The sequence below is a fragment of the Homo sapiens genome, chromosome 10 (genome assembly GCF_000001405.40).
Source record: "Homo sapiens chromosome 10, GRCh38.p14 Primary Assembly".
NCBI lineage: Eukaryota > Metazoa > Chordata > Mammalia > Primates > Hominidae > Homo > Homo sapiens.
Window position 1 is genome coordinate 112,985,112 of NC_000010.11, and position 20,922 is coordinate 113,006,033.

A 20,922-nucleotide genomic window follows, 5' to 3' on the forward strand; every position below is an offset into this window, starting at 1 on the left:
AGAGCAACGGTGATTACTTTATTGGAAAGGAAATGATACCTGTGATCCTGGCAGGCTCTAGCTGTTGCTGGGGTACTTTGGTTCCTTTCACTTCTAGGGAAGGCAAGTGGCTACTTTGTGGTTGGTTTTCTTGTCTTTTCAAACTTCCATCTCTTCTGGTTAAATTTCTTCTGCTTCTCAGAAGCTGTAAGAGATGAACCCTATTCTCCTTGTCAGATGGATATCAAAATAGGGCTTTCAAATGGACTTCAGGATCCTTCCATGGGAATTCATTTGCTACCCATTTTCACTCTTATTTTAGTGACCCCCTCCCCCAAGACATATAATATATAAACACATACATTGATTTTCTTTCTTTTTTCTTGTATTACTACAAGGATCAGTTTCTTCTGGCCTAAGTCCAGAAACAACATGCCTGTCTTTTTTCATTGTTGAGGAAAAACAGTCTGAAGGCACCATAATTCCTTAAATTGGATTTCAATTCTTGATCCCCTTATGTTCGGTAAACAGAGTGTTATATGAAACATCATTGTTTAGGAGCAAGAGGCTGGCAGCCTTGCTTTTTTTTGGGTGGAAGGGTCCTCGATTGGAGCCTCCTGGGGCGAGGCTGTGGGTGGGGTCCCCTAGAGGTGAATGCCCCCCCCTTCACTTGGGATGGAGGCATTAATCCCTTTCCAAAAAATGCTGGTAGAAGTTGGGAGGGCTGCCTGTTAGTGAGCAGAGTTTAGCTTGGAAAGAAGCCTGTAGTTTGTGTGTGTGTGTGTGTGTGTGTGTGTGTGTGCATTCTTGTTAACTCTATTAGTGCCATGGGCAGCCGCTACTTCACTTGAAAGCTTTGGAGTTTCTATATTCAAATCAAAGTCACCCAGAAGCAAAGATGAAGGGGACAGTGTGATCTTCAAAGACGAGGGAGTAAAGAAGTAGTGGGGAATATTTTCCTGGGTAATTCTGCACCCCCGCTCCCACCTTTACAGAAACACTAAGAGCCTTAGCCACTTCCTCTTTCTTGGTGGTTATGTGGGTACTCAGGCTCTGGTCAAGTCATTGGCTGTTTATGGAGCAGGAGACAGATGACTTGGGAAAGCAACATGAAAATGTCTTGGGTTGGTTTTGAGCTTGCATGGGGGGAGTGAGTCAGTAGATGTTTCTCGGGTTCTCTCTCTTCCTCTCTTGCCTTTCCTCCTTTCTTTGAGCTTGTTTCGCTCTGAGAGTACAGGCTTGGCACCCACTTACCCAAGAACTGATTAGTTCCTAAAAGAAGCAGTGAGTTGATTGCTTACAGAGATGATGTAAGCTTTGCTCTGGGGTACATCAACTTGGATTTCTCATGCTTTATCTTATAAAGCCTAAATTAACAGCTGGTTTGGTTTGAGTTCTCTGGGATCTGACTAAGGGATTAGAGTCCATTCTCAAGTGAGTCAATCTAGTTTAATTTATTTCAGGTCTATCAAAAAAGATCAATCAAAGCTCTTTTGAAAGTAAAGCTATAATCGGTCTGCACACTTATAAGTCACTGTTGTTGCACTTGGTGTTTCTCTCTGGTGGAAAAATGCTCAGGCTGTGGTTAAGAGGATGTATTAGAGCATTTTCTGTGTACCTCCCTTTCTTGCAGCCTCCACACCTCCCTGGGAAGATTTTGAGGAAGTGTCATGTTTGAGAACCCCACTTAAGTGGGAGCTGCACTCACCTCCGTCTCCTTTTTCTCTGGGCATACTGGATCCCTGTTTTGGAAGTTTCTAGTTCAGTATAATTTTAATACCTGGACCTGAACAAGTCCAGCCTGTTTTATGTCACTGTTTTTGCTCCTGGGCTTTTTCTTGCAGATATTGGTGGGTGAAGACATGCATTGAATTCTTTCCAGAATGTCTGCTGTGAAGAATTACTCATGTCATTTGCAAGGCTTAAGCTGAAGCATTCGCTGCTATGGTCGATCTAGGCTTTTGTGGGCACTGGAAACGACAACCCGAGTTGTTCATTTCTTTTGTTTCTATTTTAAAAATACTTACCGAGCATCTTCTGGTAGCTAAGAACTATTCGAGATACACTTGATGTGCCAAGAGAAACATCAAGATAAAGGAGGTAGTTAAGAGCTTGACTGTAGAGTTAGACCTGTCTTTGAATCCTAGCTTTGCTACTTTGTGACTTTATATGACCTGCAGCAAATAAATCTCAGTTTCCTTGTCTGTAAAATAGGCATAGTAAAACTGTCTCCCTCCAAGGATTGTTGTGATAATGAAATGAAATGATACTGTATCTTTTGCTTTTTAAATAAGCCACTTCTGGGGAGCTTCCAGGAAGCAGAAGTTTTTTTTTTTTTTTTTTCCCCCAAATGCATTCAAAATAAACAAATCTCCTTTTACTACCATAACGGTGTATGTGAATGTCCTGGCGGATGCTCTCAAGAGCGTCAACAATGTGGGAAAGAGAAGCAAACACCAGGTTCTTCTCAGGTGGAGCTCCAGAGTCGTCCAGTTTCTAAGTGTGATGATGAAGCATGGGTGCATTGACGAATTTGAAATTACCGATCATCACGAAGCAGGGAAGATTGTGATGAACCTCACAGGCAGGTTATCAAGTGTGAAGTGGTCAGCTGGAGATTTGATGTGCAGCTCAAAGATCTAAAAAGATGGCAGAATCATCTGCTCCTGTCCCAGCAGCTGGCCTGCATTGTGCTGACCTCAGCTGGCATCATGGACCACAAAGAGATGAGATGAAAACACACAGGAGGAAAAAGCCTGGGATTCTTTTTCTAGGGGTGTAATACACCCATGAAAAAATAAATAAATAAATAAATAAAAATAAAATAAAAATGCCTCAATGGGGGAAAAAAAACGCACCAGAGACAAATACTTATTTAGGATCTGTAATGTACCCATTGCCATACCTAGGCATCCTAGATACAGCAACATATCCCTGCCCTTTAGGAATGTACAGTTTACTGGGAAAAAGATAACACTTATCAGAGGAGGGTGTTTGGGACTGTGAATCCCGTGTGTGTGTGTGTTTTGAGACAGAGTCTTGCTCTTGTTGCCCAGGCTGGAGTACAGTGGCTCTCAGCTCACGGCAACCTCTGTCTCCTGGGTTCAAGCAATTCTCTTGCCTCAGCCTCCCGAGTAGCTGGGATTACAGGTGCCTGCCACCAGGCTGGGCTGATTTTTAGTATTTTTAGTAGTGATGGGGTTTTGCCATGTTGGCCAGGCTGGTCTCGAACTCCTGACCTCAGGTGATCCACCCGCCTTAGCCTCCCAAAGTGCTGGGATTACAGGCGTGAGCCACTGCACCTGGCCCGTGTGTTGTTTTGAGCTTCTGTCTTATGTACCACTTCCCTTGGCTCAAGGCGTCCTTTTTATCTTTCTTCCACTTGACTAAATGAGAATAGTGTGGGTCACTCTCTACCTGCCTCCCATCTGTGGTTCCTTTTGGAGATAGGCCGAGTGGGCCACTCACCCTTTAATTTTCTCTTAGTTTCCTTTCTGTACACCAGTTTGAACCTTAGTATTATCACTAATGCAAATATGAGCCTAGGCTCAATTTTTCCAGTTATGAAATGGGGCTGGCATTATTCCGTGATGTGCATGTTAAGAGAGGGGAAAGCTCACATTTTTGAGGTCCTCTTGTGGTTCTATCTTGTGTAGGAACTCACGCTTTGTTTATTCAGCAATCATTCCTCCAGAAATAACCTTAATAGCAACAAGAAAAAAGAATAGGTGTTTTTTGAGCTCTATCTGCCAGTTTCTCTATATATGGACATTATATATTGCAACATAACACTCACAATGCCTTTAAACATCATCCCCGTTATACAGATAAGAAAACAGAATTTCAAAGAAGGTAGGGGACTTGCCCAGGGATACATAGCTAGCAAGTGGCAGCGCTGGATTGAGTCTGGGCCTTGTCTGAGGCTCGGGTCCTGTCATGCTCTGCGGTTGCTATGTTGACATGCAAAGGGAGAGGCAGCTGCTGGGAGTCTAGGTGGGTTTCTCTTTGAGAATGCTAACGTGAACCCTCAAGGTGAATCAGAATCCTTTTGCAAGTGAATAATCAGATGTAGGTTCCTGTGTCTCCCTGTAAAATGAAAGCCTCTTTTTTCCAAGGTCCAGTATAGACCTGAAGCTGGGTTACTCTGGAATTTCCCTCTCTGGCTGGAGTGACTGAGGCCTTGCACGTGACATTGGTGAGGACTCGCAGCCTCAGGTCTGGCTTCCCTTAGCAACCCCCCTTTCCTGTCTCTGCCTCTGGAGTTCACCATTAAAAAAAAAAAAAGAAAAAAAGCCAAAACACTTTATAAAGTTACATGCTGGGTTTCTTCTATGTCCTAGAAACTGTCTTAATTCATCTTCCCCTTTACTCTTATATGAGCAGGAAGAAAAAAAAATTGCTAGTCAATGCTAATAATTATGGCATGTAATGTAATTGGAAGTGTTTCACTGACATGCTCATGAGAGTTTGCGGCTTCATCTTCAGGCTGGGATGTAGCACTAGACTTGCCTTGAGTGTCTGCACAAGCCTTTGATGCAGGTAGACCATATTATAAATAGGCGCGTTGCTATGGTGAGGATGGCAGTCCTTGCTTGCTGTGGGTAACCTTTTCTACCTTCTCGGACACTGTTTTAAAACACAGCAGCGTGATAGCATTTCATTTAATTTGGACCAAGGTGGGGTAGATGAAATGTTGAGATTTAGATCTAAAATGTTGTTGTGGTGTTTCAGGGGGTTCTGGCTCACCTAGTACTATGGAAGATTTTGCAGATTGGGCTTCCTCATGATTTATTTAGAAATAGATTTTCTAATAGATGGGGTGAGGGGAGGGTGGTGGGCAGAAGGCTGGGCTTTCTTCTCTTCCCCCTCCTCCTTTCATTGAGCGCTTCTGCGAATGTGTTGGCTTTGATGCCCCAGGAGCTCATACAGTGAAATGGAAGTTCAGGTTGGCACGTTGCAGAAATGATTATTCCTGGTAGTACGTTTCCCATTACTGTTAATAATATAAAGACAATTGCCTGCCTCTCAGGACTCCTGCACGTGGCTACAGTCATTTCTTCATGGAATTAGACACATAGCAGTGGGGACCAGGAGTGTTTTATTAGTGATTGTCCTCCTGCAAGTTTCCAGGGTATCTCAGCTTAGACACATGAATTATTTTTTCCTGTTGCTTGGAGGGTATACTTTTAATTATATTCATTCAATAACAGAGCAGTTCAGGTTTGTAAAATATTTTTTCTCCCCCAACCTTTTCCCCAGCATACATCCCCGTCCCGTAAGTTTCTGGGCAGAGACAATCTCAGGAACCTAAAGGTTGCTAAAAAATTAGCTAGTTGGCCAGGCGCATGACTCATGCCAGTAATCCCAGCACTTTGGGAGGCTGAGGTGGGTGGATCGCTTGAGCCCAGAAATTCGAGACCAGCCTAGACAACATGGCAAAACCCTGTCTCTACAAACAAAACAAAATCTAGCTGGGCATGGTGGTGCATGCCTGTAGTCCCAGCTACTGGGGAGGCTGAGGTGGGCGGGCGATTGAGCTCAGGAGGTCCAGGCTGCAGTGAGCCGTGATTGTGCCACTGCACTGCAGCCTGGATGACTGAGTGGGACCCTGTCTCAATAATAAATAAATAAATAAATAAAAAATAAAAAAAATTAGCTAGCCAAGCTGCTTATAGGTCTTTTACATGGCCAAGCCACTTTCTCACCTTTAAAATGGTAATAACGTTTCCGTACTCATCTCAATGGGTTTTGAGTGCCAAGACAGACCGTTTGATGGAAGCCCTCTGGGGAGAAAAATGCTACCCAAGACAGGCTTTTCAATTGGAGACTGATCCATTGGTGTTTTGGTCAGTTGGTGTTGAAATCCCTATTTTTCCAGCTCAGGACTGCCTCTCTCCCTGGAACTCTTCCCGAGGTGAGTTCTGCAGCCTTCCTTGGGAACTCTCAGCCTCTGGATCCCTTCTTGCCAGGTGGAGTGGACATGCCAAAGTTGTGGGCCAGACTCGGACTGCCTGGCTTGTCTCAGCACCTTTGGGGACCCACTTCCCCTCTCTGGGAACTGGGGAAGCTAACAGAGATCTTGCTAGGGGGGTGGAATCCTGTATCCATGTGAGGTTGTACCCCCAGGCTCCTGAGTGGTTTGAAAGTGGGGAACCCTGGCCGGGCGCGGTGGCTCATGCCTATAATCCCAGCACTTTGGGAGGCTGAGGCGGGCGGATCACAAGGTCAGGAGATCGAAACCATCCTGGCTAACACGATGAAACCCCGTCTCTATGTGCGTGGTGGCTGGCACCTGTAGTCCCAGCTGCTCGGGAGTCTGAGGCAGGAGAATGGCGTGAACCCGGGAGGCGGAGCTTGCAGTGAGCCGAGATCGCCCCACTGCACTCCAGCCTGGGCGACAGAGCGAGACTCCATCTCAAAAAAAAAAAGAAAGAAAAAAAAAGAAAGTGGGGAACCCCTCCCCCAGGATGAGAAGAGCCATGGGGTGAGTCTCTGCCACCGCCAAGGGGAGTCAGGCTCAGAGGCTGCTACAGGGACAGCCAGCTCTCTTTAGATGGTCCCCACCATCTAGTCAGGGCTTGTTACATATGGAGCAGAGACAGCGCAGGCTGCTGCTGTTTTCCTGGAGAAGGCCCCTGTCGGTCTGTTCAGCTGTAGCTGACCTTTCCTCCTTGTGCTTTTTGGGGAGGGAGCCTTGGAAGGAGTAGGGCACGTGGGGCACTCTGCTTCCCGGCCCCACACTGGCGAACCTATGGATTCTGCCTCTGATTCCTGAGGAAACATCACTGTGAAGGTGGAATGAGCCACATACAGAGGTGGCTGTTGGGGCCGGGGAGGGGTGAAACGCCCCCAGGGTGTACATTGCACCAAAAGCCAGGCTGCATATAGACCTCAGGATGGGCTGGCTTTTCTATTTATTTAGAAGTATTTCCAGAGGGTAACCTCATTGGCTACAAAGCATGTCTGAACAAGAGCTCCGTTGTTCATTCCCAGCCCTGTTACCCTGGCAGGATGCAGACTCCAGGCGGCCTGTTGGTCAGGCCTTGGACTCAGAGAGCAGTGAAGCCTGAGGAGGGGTGGGGGGCAGAGGCGTGAGTGGTCTAGGGCCTCAGTCCCTCCAGGACACCCCTTGCCAAGCGCAGAGAAAGCTCTGCCCATCCGTCCCCTCAGGCAGTGGGATTGGGCAACCTGGGAAGCAGTGAATGTGCGTCGGTAGCATAGATTCCATTCCGCACGCCACCCTCGCCTCCGCCCCCCAGCCCTGGGAGGGATGCATGCCCTCCGGGAGACACCCAGACCCGACAGAGAGGCCTTTGTTGGAGCTGGAGGTGAGAATCTGTGGGCGTTGGGATTCCTGGGTTCGAGTTCCAGCTCACTGCCAATTGCCCGAGTGCTGGGCGAACATTTCTGGAATCAAAAGGAGTGCAGCCTGCCCAGCAGGGCCTACGGGAGCCGGAGGCTGCAGGGTGCTAAGATTGCGTTATCTTTACCAAGTGCCCGGAGCTCCTGGGAGGGAAGAGAGAGTCCTAGGACTCAGGATAGGAGGTGGTTGGAGTTTCTCGAGGAAGACTCCATGCTTTGGTTCTGGCCCCTGGAAACCCCTCCTGAGGACTGGACCTCCAAGCAGACCCCCTCTGTGACTCCGGAATGCAGTGTTACTCTCTTATATTTTTCTTTCTTTTTTTTTTTTTGAGACGGAGTCTCACTCTGTCACCCAGGCTGGAGTGCAGTGGCACGATCTCGGCTCACTGCAACCTCCGCCCTCCGAGTTCAAGCGATTCTCCTGCCTCAGCCTCCCAAGTAGCTGGGATTACAGGTGCCTGACACCGCGCCTGGCTAATTTTTTGTATTTTTAGTAGAGATGGGGTTTTACCATCTTGGCCAGGCTGGTCTTGAACTCCTGACCTCATAATCCACCCGCCTCGGCCTCCGAAAGTGCTGGGATCACAGGCGTGAGCCACCGCACCCGGCCACTGTCTTGTATTTCTAACGTCCCCCTGACTTTTCTGATCATGTAATTCTTAACTTTCTCAAAACTGAGATTTGTCACGTGTCCTCTCCCCACTCCATTTTGTGAATCAGAGTCTTCCAGGGGCAGGACCTGGAGAATGGGTCTTTATTAACACACATGTGAAAATGCTTTTGCCAGCAAGGCGCGGTGGCTCATGCATGTAATCCCGGCACTTTGGGAGGCCGAGGCAGGCGGATCACTTGAGGTCAGCCTGGCCAACATGGTAAAACCCTGTCTCTACTAAAAATACAAAAATTAGCTGGGTGTGGTCGTGGGCACCTGTAGTCCCACCTACTCGAGAGGCTGAGGCATGAGAATCACTGGAACCCAGGAGGTAGAAGTTGCAGTGAGCCGAGATCACACCACTGGACTCCAGCTTGGGTGATAGAGTGAGACTCTGTCTCAAAAAAAGAAAAAAAAAAGAAAATGCTTTTGCCATGGGCTGTCTCCTGCTTCTGCTTTGCATTGGGCCTCTGTACCTAGGTTGCAAGATTCCTCAGGGTGCACCTGGGCTTATCGTTATCTGTAAGTTATCCCAGCAAGCACTTAAAACACAGTGTTGGACGATGAATCCCCTCTACAAGAGAGGGACAGGGCAAAAACGACACCTCTTGCCTCGCAAGCTGTCTTGGGCCAAACCTCAGGTCTATTCTTTCTTTTTTTTGAAAGTAGTGGCTGGGCACGGTGGCTTACGCCTGTAATCCTAGCACTTTGGGAGGCCAAGGCGGGCGGATCTTGAGGTCAGGAGTTCGAGACCAGCTTGGCCAACATGGTAAAACTCCATCTCTACTAAAAATACAAAAATTAGCTGGGCGTGGTGGCGCATGCCTGTAGACCCAGCTACTCAGGAGGCTGAGGCAGGAGAATCACTTGAACCTGAGAGGCAGAGGTTGCAGTTAGCTGAGACCATGCCATTGCACTCCAGCCTGGGCGGCAGAGCGAGACTCTGTCTCAAAAAAAAAAAAAAAGAAAGTAGCAGCTCTACTGAGATATTTAGAAACCATAAAATCCACCTATTTGAGGTGTACAATTGAGTGATTTTCTGTATAGTCACAGATCTGTGCAGTCATCCACACCCTCTAACTCCAGGACATTTTCCTCACCCCCGAGGAGAAACCTCCCTTACCCATTAGCAGTCACTCCTCATTTCCTCTCCCCCCAGCCCCTGGCAATCACTGTGGATTTGCCTGTTCTTGACATTTCATATAAATGGTATCATAAAATCTATGGGCTTTTGTGTCTGTCTGCTTTCACTTAGCATACGGTTCTCAAGGTTCATCCAGTATTGTAGCATCTATCAGTATGTCATTCCTTTTTATGGCCAAATAATATTTTATTGTATGGATAGACATTTTGTTTATTCATTTATCTGTTTTTGGTTATTATGAGTAACACTACTATGAACATTTTGCACAAATTTTTGTATTGACATGTTTTCATTTCTCCTGGGTATAGTCCTATGAGTGGAATTGCTGGGTCATATAATAAATAACTGTTTAACATTTTGGGGAGCTGCCAAACTTTTAAAACCTTGGGTTCTGTGATGTACCAGTTGTGTTAGGCAGCACAGCAAAATGTGACTTTTGATTGCCAGAAACAATATTTAAAAAGTGGTTATAAAAAGTGGTTTGGGAGGCTGAGGCAGGAGGATCACTTGAGCCCAGGAGTTTGAGACCAGCCTGGGCAACATAGTGAGACCCTGTTAAAAAAAAAGAAGGCCAGGCACAGTGGCTCATGCCTGTAATCCCAGCACTTTGGGAGACTGAGGCGAGCAGATCACCTAAGGTCAGGAGTTCCAGACCAGCCTGGCCAACATGGCGAAACCCCATCTCTACTAAAAATACAAAAATTAGCCAGGCCTGGTGGTGGGCGCCTGTAATCCCAGCTACTCAGGAGGCTTGAGGCAGGAGAATCGCTTGAACCTGGGAGACTGAGGTTGCAGTGAGCGGAGATCATGCCATTGCACTCCAGCCTGGGCAACAAGAGCGAAACTGTGTCTCAAAACAAATGAAAAGAAAAGGCTGTCATGTTAGATCCACCCTCCTCCTCAGGGGAACCCCTGGGCTGCTCTCTGGGTAGAGATGGGAACCCAGGCCTCGGGCCAGTGAGTGGAAGGAAACTTTGGGATGATTGACTTGGGACTGGGCTAGAGGTGAAGAATCTCCCAGTAGGCAAAGTTCGGCCTTACGTTTTTTTGTTTCAAGCAAACCACATCATTACCCACAGAGGCCATTGGTGAGATATTTGTAAGTCTCCTGACAGTGGCTGGAGTTCGTTGCTTGGTTGTTGTTTCTCTGTCTCAGCCCTGGAGATGGGAGTGACCACCTGCTCTCTCTGGACAGAGGCTGTCCACGTTCATGCAATTCCTTGGACACCGGTGGTGCAGCGGGAGGCGTAACTGGGAGTGGGAGACCCTGAACTGTGCCGGTTCTTGCAGAGTATCACTGTGACTTCAGGCGAGTCACCCCACATCAGGCAGCTCAGAACAAGGGATTGATCTAGAAGGACCTTTCACCTGGGCTATTCTGTGACTCAAATTATCTTCTCCTAAGCCCACTACTGCCTGGTGTGTTGGTTAAATTAGCCTAAAGGTCATTCCCTCGGAGAGGCCCTCTGGGAAACCTCCCTTTCCTGAGAGTCACTGCTTGCTGGCGCCTGCCCCTGGGGTTCCTTCAGAGTCGTGATCATGCCCTGGCCTCTTCCTTTATTTGGCAGTCCCTTCCCTTCCCCATCCCTGATGAGGGTAGGGAGCATCTGTCTGCAGCTTCATCTTCATTGTCTAGGGGCTCCAGAAATATCTGTGAGTAAATAAGTTATTTAATCTTTGCCTCAAATTTCCAGTGACTGTAGGGATATAGCTGTGAGCCTCTAGGAGCTGAGATTTTTTAAATTTCCCACTTAAACATTTATTTAAAAATTTTGTGCTCAGCATGGACTAAGGACTTTACATTCATTAACTCATTTACAGCTTGATCCTATGCGGTGGGCATTCATTTACAGAGGATCCCATTTTACAGGTGAGGAAGAGGCCAGCTAGGGGTGCAGCCTAGGTTAGTATTCTAGAGCTCATCAGGCTGTGTTGTCCCCAGTGAAAGAATAAGCAAAGAAGTGAATGTTGTGCATTGAGAAAAATGACTCTCGGAGGAGGATGAGCCTCTCGGATATGGCGACCGAAGTGATATGGGGCCCTTGTCAAGGGTCTCTATTATGGCATCAAGAAAAGATGCTGCTTTCGGTGATGCCCGAGGAGAGCCTCAATATTTTACATGGGAAACCTAAAAAAGGGGCCATGTTGTGGTCTCTGCACCTAAGATACTAAAGGAAATATTTTATGGAGAGATGCAACATGTCAGGCCTTGGAGGGAAACCCCAGGATCCAGATGGTTGCACTCTCAAACCAGGGCCCCCCTCACCTTGGCCTTCAGCATTTAGTGTTGGAACCAATAGCATAAGCTTTGGTCAGGACCTTTGATGGAAGCCACAGTGCTCATTAGTGACCACGGTTGACTACCTTCTCTCTCCTAAGCTGACTTCTGGAGGGCACCTGGGATTTCCGGCCAGTGATCAGTGCTGGTGAAGCCTGAAGGCCAATGTGTAGGTTTAGCTGTTCAGTCAGAACCCAAAAGGGGCCAAAGAGATGGTTTCCTTCAACCTCCACTGAGGGAAGTGAAAGTCATGGTTCGTTAAAAGGCTGAGCTGGGACCAGAGTCTAGGGTTCTAGAGGTGGGAATTTCTACAGCTTTGGGGGACCTTGCAAGGGCATTTGCTCTTCTGGGACTGCAGGGAGACTGTGCTTCTCAGAGATGTTAGCATTTGGCTTGGGGAGAGAGAGGAAAGGAGAGGTTCATGCTCCGCCATGATGGTGGAAAGTGATGTTGGTGTGGTGAGGAGCTGAGCTGAATTCTAAGTGGTTCCAGGGAATTAACAATGTTCCTGCCCAAGTGTCCTGTTCCCCCACAAACTAATGAGGCAGCAGGTGTCTGAAGAGAAACATTGCAGAATGTCTGCCAGGGGTTTTATGGTTAATTTTCCTCCATTATGAGGGTTGACTCAGCCTTGGGTATTAGATGTCTTTGAGAATCCAGGGTTCAAATACCACAGCTGGTAGAATGTTTCTCAACTTGGAGCCAATCTCCATCTACTGAAGGTACGCTGGTTTAGACAGACAACAGGGACATCAGCATTTTAAAAAGCGGTGGAAAAAGTTTGCTTGTCTTGATTGGAGCCATGACATTTTATTTTGAAATTTCAAATAACATGAAGGGAGGTTTGGAGCGGTTTTTGGTTTATCCAAAGGGCAGTGGATTGAAGGCTGAGAAACACCAGGCTGAATGGGAGAGGGGTTGGGGTCCCCCTGTGAGATAGTGAAACAATGGTAGTGCCATCCAATGATAGGCACTTTTCTGTCATTCAGAAGCAGAAAGGGGGCCAGAGGCCCATTGGCCTTACTGGGCAGTAAGCTGTAGAGCTGCTGCCTTTTCGTGAAAGGGTTGACACCAACCTTCTCCCCCAGGAAGAGTGACCAGGGACCTGAGGGGCATGGTCGAGCAGATGACAGCCTTTGTAAAACATCTCCCTGGTCTCATCAGCGATATTCGTCCTGCCTTCCTTCTGAGTAATTTCCATCTTAGGACTGGAGTCAGGTGGAGCAAGATTCCATGTTGGTTTCTGTTGGGCCTAGAGTGTCACACTGAGACCTAATTTCATACTTTATGAATTCTAGTACTGCTCTCGAAGGTAAGAGCCGTCCTCTTTGGCTGAAGGTTTTTGCCTGCAACCTTGCATTGTAATCCAGTGACACCTGACGTATCTGTAAATTTCTTCAAATTTCTAAGTGTATTACAACCCCGTGTGCAAAAGATGATTAATTAATTGCCTTGACAGTAAAACAAAAAACAAAAAAAAGGTGTGGGGGTATATGGTATCCCTGATTTACTATAGAAGATGCAGAGAGTGAAGGGAGATGAGGTGGGGAGGAGGGGCCCAGGTTCTGGTCCTACTTTTTTTTTTTTTTTTCTAAAGAGATGGAGTCTTACCATGTTGGCCAGTCTAGGCTTGAACTCCTGGCCTCAAGAGGTGCTCTCACCTCAGCCTCCCAAAGTGCTGGGATTATAGGCGTGAGCCACCGAGTTTAGCCCAGGTTCTGTTTCTTGCTTAGTCACTTTCTGTTTGAACAAAATTGGAATTTCCTTTTTGGATCTGTTTCTTTAATTGTAAATTGAATCGGACTAAAACCTTTCCAATTTTTTCACATGTGAAGACATACACAAAAGTTTTATTGGAGGGTTGCACATGTGAAAGAAAAAGGGAGAAAGCAGGATTGAGCAGGGGGAGCCGTCAGATGGTAATGCAGATGTGATGAGATCTCTGCCGGACCAAAGAGAAGATTCCTTTTTAAATGGTGACAAATTCATGGGCTTTCTCTGCCTCAAAACCTAGCACAGCTGTTATTTACTGAACAATTAGAGAGCTAAGCACTTTTTAGATACTATATAATTTAATTGCCGTATGAGGCACCCTTAGTTTTCAGACGAGAAACCACAGTTACAGGGAAGGCAAGTAACTTAGTCAATGTCAGATAACTAGGAAAAGGTTAGAGGGGCCCTGGACACAGGCCTGTGTGACTGAGAAGCTTGGGCACTTCACTGCTACATTTCATCTCTTCGCTATAAACATTTTAGCTTTTTGTGTTTGCTGACTGGCAACAATACATAGTGAAAGTTCTAATAATTTGTAATGCTTTTGCATGTCTTTGTATTTTTCTTGGTTATCACATCACATCAAATTAAGATACTGATCAGCAGTGTGAGAGGTTATTTTTCCATGTCCTCTTCATTAGTGTTAGCTTGTGGATGGATTTGAGGCTCTCTGTGCTTTCCCCCCAGCAAAGTGAATACCAGACTTTCCTATTAAAAAAAGTATTTTATTTTTCAGAGACAGGGTCTCATTCTGTCTCCCAGGCTGGAGTGCAGTGGCACAATCATAGCCCACTGCAGCCTCCAACTCTTGGGTTCAAATGATCCTCCTGCCTCAGCCTCTCTTAAGCAGTGCCTTTCCCCATTCTCATGGGACTTTCCAATCCATGAGATACTTTGCTGCAGGGAAGCCCTGTCTGTCCAGGCCTGTGTAATAGACGACTTCACATGGTCCTGTGTTGTTGTTTGCCTTCTGTGTGGCTAAGTTTCCATGACCTGGTGGCTTGGAAGCCCCATCCCTGATTTGTGGGAGAGGCAGGGAGGCACCTTGTAGCGCACTAGGCGTTGGGCCTGAACAAGTCTGTGTGCTTCCAATGTCTTTGTGGGGAGGTTTACGAGTCCTTCTTATTATATAATAGTATCTTGTCTTAGCTTGGTGCCTTTCTTCTCAGAAGCTTGAGGCACTCTGCAGATACCATCTCAATTTGCTTTCTGGGAGGAGGAGAGGAAGCTACCCAAAAGATGAAGTTCTCTGTGAGGGGCTTGAACACAGGTTGATAGCGTTGCTGGTTAGTTATTCTCATGGTGTGGATGAAAAATGGAATACGCTGAAATTTCAGTTACTCGTCACAAAAATAAGGCGTATGTAGAAAACATCCTGGGCTAAGGGTTTGCATGCTTCTAGAACTTCCTGTTACTTAATGGCTGTTGAGTATAAACCTCGGGAACAGTGGGGATCCTTGGAGACCCCAAATAACTTGTATTTGTGGTTACTCCTGTCTTGTCTATCAATACCCCTGTCTATATCGTGTTAGAACTAGGACACACAGACTGGATTCAGAAGCTGGCCTGGGGTTTAGGAGAACATGGGACCTAATCCTGGCCATCTCGATTTACCTCCTGGATCTTGTTTTCTCATCTGTAAAATGAATTGGGGTGTGGACTGTTTATGGCCTGTAGGATGCTAGCCCTGAGAATTTTCTCCAGATATTCTACGGTTAAGTAATTTTAGGGGACACTGTCTAAGCAGTTGCCTCTTGGAGAATGAAGATGTTCATTAGGATATTGAAGGCTCTGAGAAGTCCTAAAGTTAAAGAAAATCTGCAATGTTCTTTGTGGGACCGAATAATGCAACCTGGGAAATGAGGGATTAGATGACACTTGAGTAGCCTTCCAGATCTGAGACGAGTCTCACTCTGTTTGTTTACTCCATCTGTGATGGGTGTAGGCACCATCTTGGGGAGCAAGCTGTGATAGAGAGGGAACAATACCTTGTTAATGTTTGTCTAATTCACTACCCAGGTGCATGGTAGTGAATTAGACACTACTTTGTAGGTTCTGGAGGGAAGAAGAAAAGACGAGACCTGCCTGGACTGGGGCTTGAGACCACTGTCAAATACAAGTACAGTTGTACAACTGGTAGGGAGTGGGTCATAGTATGGCCGGTCTTTTTAAAGGTGAGGAATTCTTAGGCCCAGAAAGGCAAAGTGACAGATCCTGGATTTAACCAGCAGCCCAGATTTGAGGCCTAGCACATAGCAAAGCACCATAGCTATTCAATAGCTGCCAAGTGGGAGTTTGGATGATGGCTTTCCTGGACAGCGAAAGCAGTGATGTTTGCTTAGGATGGCCTTTGGCAGTGCTGCTGTTATCCTTACCACTGGCAAGCCATCTCACGGGCCCGGAGGGGAGGGCAAGGAATCCTAATTCTGTGAGAAGGCTCTGGGTACATGAGTGTGAGATATGGATACCCTAGGCTCTGCCCCTGAAGACAGTGGCATCGGATTTACTGCACTATTCCAGTCGGACAGGCACCTTAATTTTTCTCTTTCTGGGTGTTTGATATGGTTGGGTCCTATTTCTTCTCCTCCAAACCCCGCTAGGGCCATTCCCCCACCCTTCACTTCCCGGCCTTCCACTGCAGTCTCTAAGGATTCTGCTTCATCTTTATGTGTGAACAGGGTTTTGACAAACATGATTAACTGGGTATTTTTGGAAGGCTCAGGAGGAACGCAGAGTGCTCCGGAGGGCAGGCCTGGAGTCAGGAATGCTTCCTGCAACCTGTTCGTGCAGTGAGCGTGTCTTCCTCGCCCTGCCCTTGGCTGGGGAATGTGCTGGCTTGGAGGGCAGGAGAGTGACAGGCGGTTTGAGAACTCCGGGCTCTCCCGTCTTCGGATGGCTCCTGTGAAAGCAGGGCCTGAAACTTTTATCGTCACTGCTGCAGGTGAAAGACTTTCATTTGGCTGTAGTGGTCCAACAAAGAGTATTTTATTTATGTGTTTCCAAGCCCTTAAAAATTCTTTTAGGGCACATCAGTGGGGAGTTAATAGAAACTTTGAAATAAGAAAAATGCCTGCAGGGTAAGTAGAACCCCAGCCAGCCAGCTCCGAGTTCTGTGCTGTTAGCTGGTAGGTTGGTTCTCAGAGAAGTGGCTGGCTGGCTGGGTTACGGAGCCCACATCTCTAATGCCTTAGTGTTCAATCATTAAGTGGATTTTTTTTTTTCCCTTCTCTTCTTTTGGTTTGGAGGGAGGACTACTCTAAACTTTACTCAGGGCAGGGTAGCTCCTGAAAGGGCTCCCTAACCTTTCTGGTTTATGACACAAAGAAAGTTTGGAGGTACTGGGATAAGAGATGGCTTGGGTGACCCCCCTATCATGCCCCCTAACACATACACAGCAAACCAAACCAACTCACCCTTGATCATACTCGTTGTTTACACGAAGGGAATTTTTATTGTCTTGTGAGTGTTGAGTGATGATTAAACAGAAGAGATGTGACTCCAAGCCTGGCTTCACTAAGATAGTCTTGTTTGTTTCTTTTCCTCCAAAGTAATTTCCTAAAGAATTAAAAGCCCCTTTGAAACCCAGCACTACCTTGTCTCTGATTATCAGCATAGGCAGGAAGGGCTTTTAAGGTCTGAGCCCAGCTGTTTAGAGGCTACGAGACGTGAGGCAAATCCTGGTATCTCTCTTTGGGCCTCAGTTTCTTCATCTGTGAAATGGCACAGTACTACCCTCCACCAAGGATGATGATGAGAATTAAATGGGATGACAGGTTTCATCCCCAGCTCCTGTTCTTAGGAAGGAAAAACTGTGACTTATGAAGCCTGTAGGTTGTGTTCAGGTTTGTATGAGGCCTCGGACTTCATACAAAGGTATCAAAGTGGCAAACCCTGATCCAGATGTTTTCAGTTCAGTCAGCTGGTCCTTGAGCCTGTTGTGTGCCAGATATCCTGACCAAAGAAGCTAGATGGGAGCTGCTGTGTTGTTCCTTGGGGCTGCTGGATGCAAGTTGTTTAGGTCGGCGGTTTTCAAATGCTGGTGATTTTGCTCACCAGAGGACATTTGGCAATGTCTAGAGACATTTAGCATGGCCAGTCATTGGGAGGTACTCCTGGCATCTCGTGGGCAGAGGCTAAGGATGCTATTGAACATCCTGCAATGCCCAGGACAGCCCCCTGTGACAGGAGTCATCCAGCCCAACATGTCACTAGTGCTGCAGTGGAGAAGCCCTGGCTGTGTGTGGGGGTGTGTGTGTGTCCTCTTCTACATTTGATAAGGTAACTCACACTTGCTGCCCCCATGATCGCTGTGGGGGATGCTTATCTATGCCCCAGTCCTGGTGTTGGTTGATGGGAACATCAAGATTCAGGCAAGATGGAAAATAGCCCTTAGAACTAGCAGGAAAAGAATCTCCTTTCATTTGTCTAGAGGTTCTGTTAAAGTGCCTTTGCTTCTATTTTGAGACTTGTTCTTAAAAAAAATGCGGATATGAAAGAAAATAAAAACCACATTATCCCTCCACTTTTTCTTGGAGGAGGATGTGTTGAAGAAGTCAAAGTTCACCATCCCTTTAGATAGAATCATTTTGAACAATTTCATATGTCAATACATTTTGCTCATCTCTAAATTTCATTTTAGAGCCTGTGGTGTTCTGTGCATGGATATGTGTGCGTGTATGCACACAAAAATAAAAGGAAATATTTATTCTTATGAATAAGTATAGAAATAAATTAATTTTTGGAATCTCAAACTATCAGAGACTTATGTAATAACCAGAGGCAGGCCTGATTATGTATGGGCAAAGCATTTGTGAACAATGTCTCCATTGTATAACATACAAAACAAGCTTTTCTTCCACATTGGATATGCAAGTCGGCCTTCTCCAATAAGGGCCTGTCTCTTTCCAACTCCCCCCACCTCCCACCTTTGAGCAAACATTATTTATTGTGGCTGATGTGTGATCAGGTCTTGATTTGGGGCCTCTTTTTGATGCCTTCTCTTTGTGGGATCTCACCCACGTGCCCCTGGAGACCCTTTGGCTGCCAGGGCCTTTGTTTCCCAGCCACCCATGTGGTGCCAGTAGTGTCTGCTTTGTAGCGAGCTGTCCCCAGAGCCTCAGCATGGCTTGGGGATGGTCTCTGAGGTTGGGCTTGGATCCCTCCCACTTTTGGGCTCAGAAAGAATGACTGCCCTCTATTTCCCTGTCCCTGCCCTCTCTTATCCTGTTTCCCAGCCCGCATCATGTTATCTTTGCTTCTTGTAACTTACCAAACGATTTATGGGCAAGTAGGGGAGGTGAAGAGGGAACTCATCTATCAAGATAACCTACTTTGTGCCAACCACTGAGCATAGCAATTGTCCCTTCTCCAGCCCTCTGAGGACCGTGGATGGGATTCTCATGAAATGAAACAGGTGAGGAACTTTTCTTTTAGGGAACTTGCTTGAGGTCCCACAGGCAGCGAGTATCAATCAACGTCAGGATCTGAGCCCTGTTCTGTTCGGCTGAAAATATACTCCCTGAGATGGTGTAGGCCACCATGGCTTTCAGCAGGCTCTGTGCTTGGTGGAAGGAAGCTGGAAGCTGTGTACACACCCACGGGGAACAGGGACCATAGAGGAGCACCTTTTGAGTGCAGAACCTGGCGAAACATACACCTTTAGAGGGATTTTAGGTACCCTTGAGGCTGGGAGAATCAAGCAGAGCTAAGTTTCCCATTGGGGTGTCACAGACTGAAGAAACAGAGCCCTAGGTAGCACAGGGAAGTTGATTGCCCAGTATCAGTTAGTTTGGCTTTAATGACTGAGAAGAGATTCCACCAGTTCATTGAAGAGAGGGCGGACTTTTTATTGGAGGAAAGAAGAGTGCCTGTAAGTAGAGAAGTCTCCGGGGTGTAGTGCTGTTTGGGGCAGGAAGAACAGTGTGAGCCACTGTGGAGAGAAAGCCCAAAGAGTCTTGGCAGGGCAGGGAGTAGGATGGATTTGAAGCCAGAGGAAGTATGGGGTCTCTGTAGACTCCAGGCAAGCCATGTTAATATTTTAGGAAGCCGTGATGGAGCTGCAGATGGGTGTGGAAGTTAAAGTTTAACTGTTCATTCACCAGTCCTTCCCCTGGAGAATGTGCAGCACGTGGACAGTGGAACTTTAAGGTCCTTGGCTTGTATTTCACACCCAAGAGATGAATAGGTCCAGGTATGTCATAGACCAGACTAATGAAATAACAAATTTCTTTTCAAAAATTTTACTTTTTGTAGGAAAGCTTCTCTGTCTGGCATTTTTCTTCTCCCAGTTGTGACTCAATCTTAAACGTCTTCAGACAATTAGCATAAAATTTCCCACAGTGAATTGACGTATACTTTTGAGGGTTCCATTTCTTTTTTATTTTTTTTTTCTTTTGAGATGGAGTTTCTCGTCACCCAGGTTGGAGTGCAATGGTGCCATCTTGGCTCGCTGCAACCTCCGCCTCCCGGGTTCAAGCGATTCTCCTGCCTCAGCCTCCTGAGTAGCTGGGATGTCAGGCACCCGCCACCATGCCCGGCTAATTTTCGTGTGTTTTAGTAGAGATGGGGTTCCACCGTGTTGGCCAGGCTGGTCACAAACTCCCGACCTCAGGCAATCCGCCCGCCTCGGCCTCCCAAAGGCTGTGATTACAGGTGTGAGCCACTGTGCCCAGCCTAGGGTTCCATTTCTTAACCCCTCCTTCTGATGCCTCAGAAAGTCTTGCTCTGTAAGCCTCTTGTAGCTGCCTCGGTTCAGGGGAAGGGGGAGGCTTTTGTTTTAGGACCGTCCAGACCATAGACACATTTCCTGGCACCTAGCACGTGTTGGGTCAAACAGGAATGATGAATGCATGCATGAATGAGGTTCTTAGCGCTGAAGACGGTGTCATAGGTGGTCTACCACGCCGCCTGATCATTCCAATGGCCCATTATGAATGTGTGTGCTGCAGGGCCCTCCCACGATCCCGTCAGCACTGTGCATGTTGTGGGGAGGTGCTGGGAGAAAGACTGGGTCTCAGAAGATGGGTTAGAGGTGGGTCCTTCTCTGCTGCTGGCTAGCAGGGTAGCTGTGGAGGGGTGCCCCATCTTGCTGGTCTTAAATTTTCTCACTGTAGGCAGGGAGCATGACCTGGCTGAATTCTAAGTCCTTTTCTACTCTGAGGTTCATTGTGGGTGTGACCTGCTGGGCTCAGCTCTGGCTTTGGGAGACACCCTCTCCCCTTGATCTCGACAACCCCTTAGCAGAGCCCAGTGGCTCCTACAGTGCCCTGAGCTGCTTGCCCGAAGGATGCGGTTGTGGTTATCTCACCCCCTGCCACCCTGTTTGCGCAAGGGTTTGAGATTGTGTGGCCCCTCCTTGTACTTCGGGGTGAGGCTTGCTCCAGAAAGGTGGTCTGCAAAGGGGTTGGCTGGGGGGGAGGAGGAAGTCATTCTCCAAGTGTTTGTCCTCATCGTTATCCCAAATTGCTTGCCTGGAATAAGGAAGGAAAGAAAAAAAAATACTCTTGAGTGGTTTGGGCCAGGATTTTAGCTGATGGATCTGGTAGTTCCCTCTGTCAGATTTGTTTTCTTTGAACTGTCTGGGCCGGTCACAGTGTCATTGTTTAAATGTGGAATGTAGGTGTTCTGTGTTCTGGGAAATAAAAACCAAAACTGGTCCAGGGGATCCACAGAGGTAAGAAAAGAACATTCCAATAGGAATGTTTCAGAACCAGGAGGGGAGGAGAGAAAAACGGC

At 47.0% G+C, this 20,922-nt stretch overlaps 1 protein-coding gene and 1 pseudogene across 15 annotated transcripts in view, besides 1 other annotated feature; both read left to right on the top strand.

Annotated features, from left to right (window-relative positions):
• TCF7L2 (transcription factor 7 like 2) overlaps positions 1-20,922 on the top strand; it is a 217,432-nt gene that overhangs the window by 34,865 nt on the left and 161,645 nt on the right. The window lies entirely within an intron of this gene.
• RPS15AP30 (ribosomal protein S15a pseudogene 30) lies at positions 2,371-2,753 on the top strand (annotated as a pseudogene).
• Positions 12,834-13,786: an enhancer, noted in NCBI's record as "VISTA enhancer hs1980". NCBI's record gives its function as "enhancer in: pancreas[3/4]" and the evidence as "EXISTENCE:transgenic organism evidence [ECO:0001131][PMID:17130149]".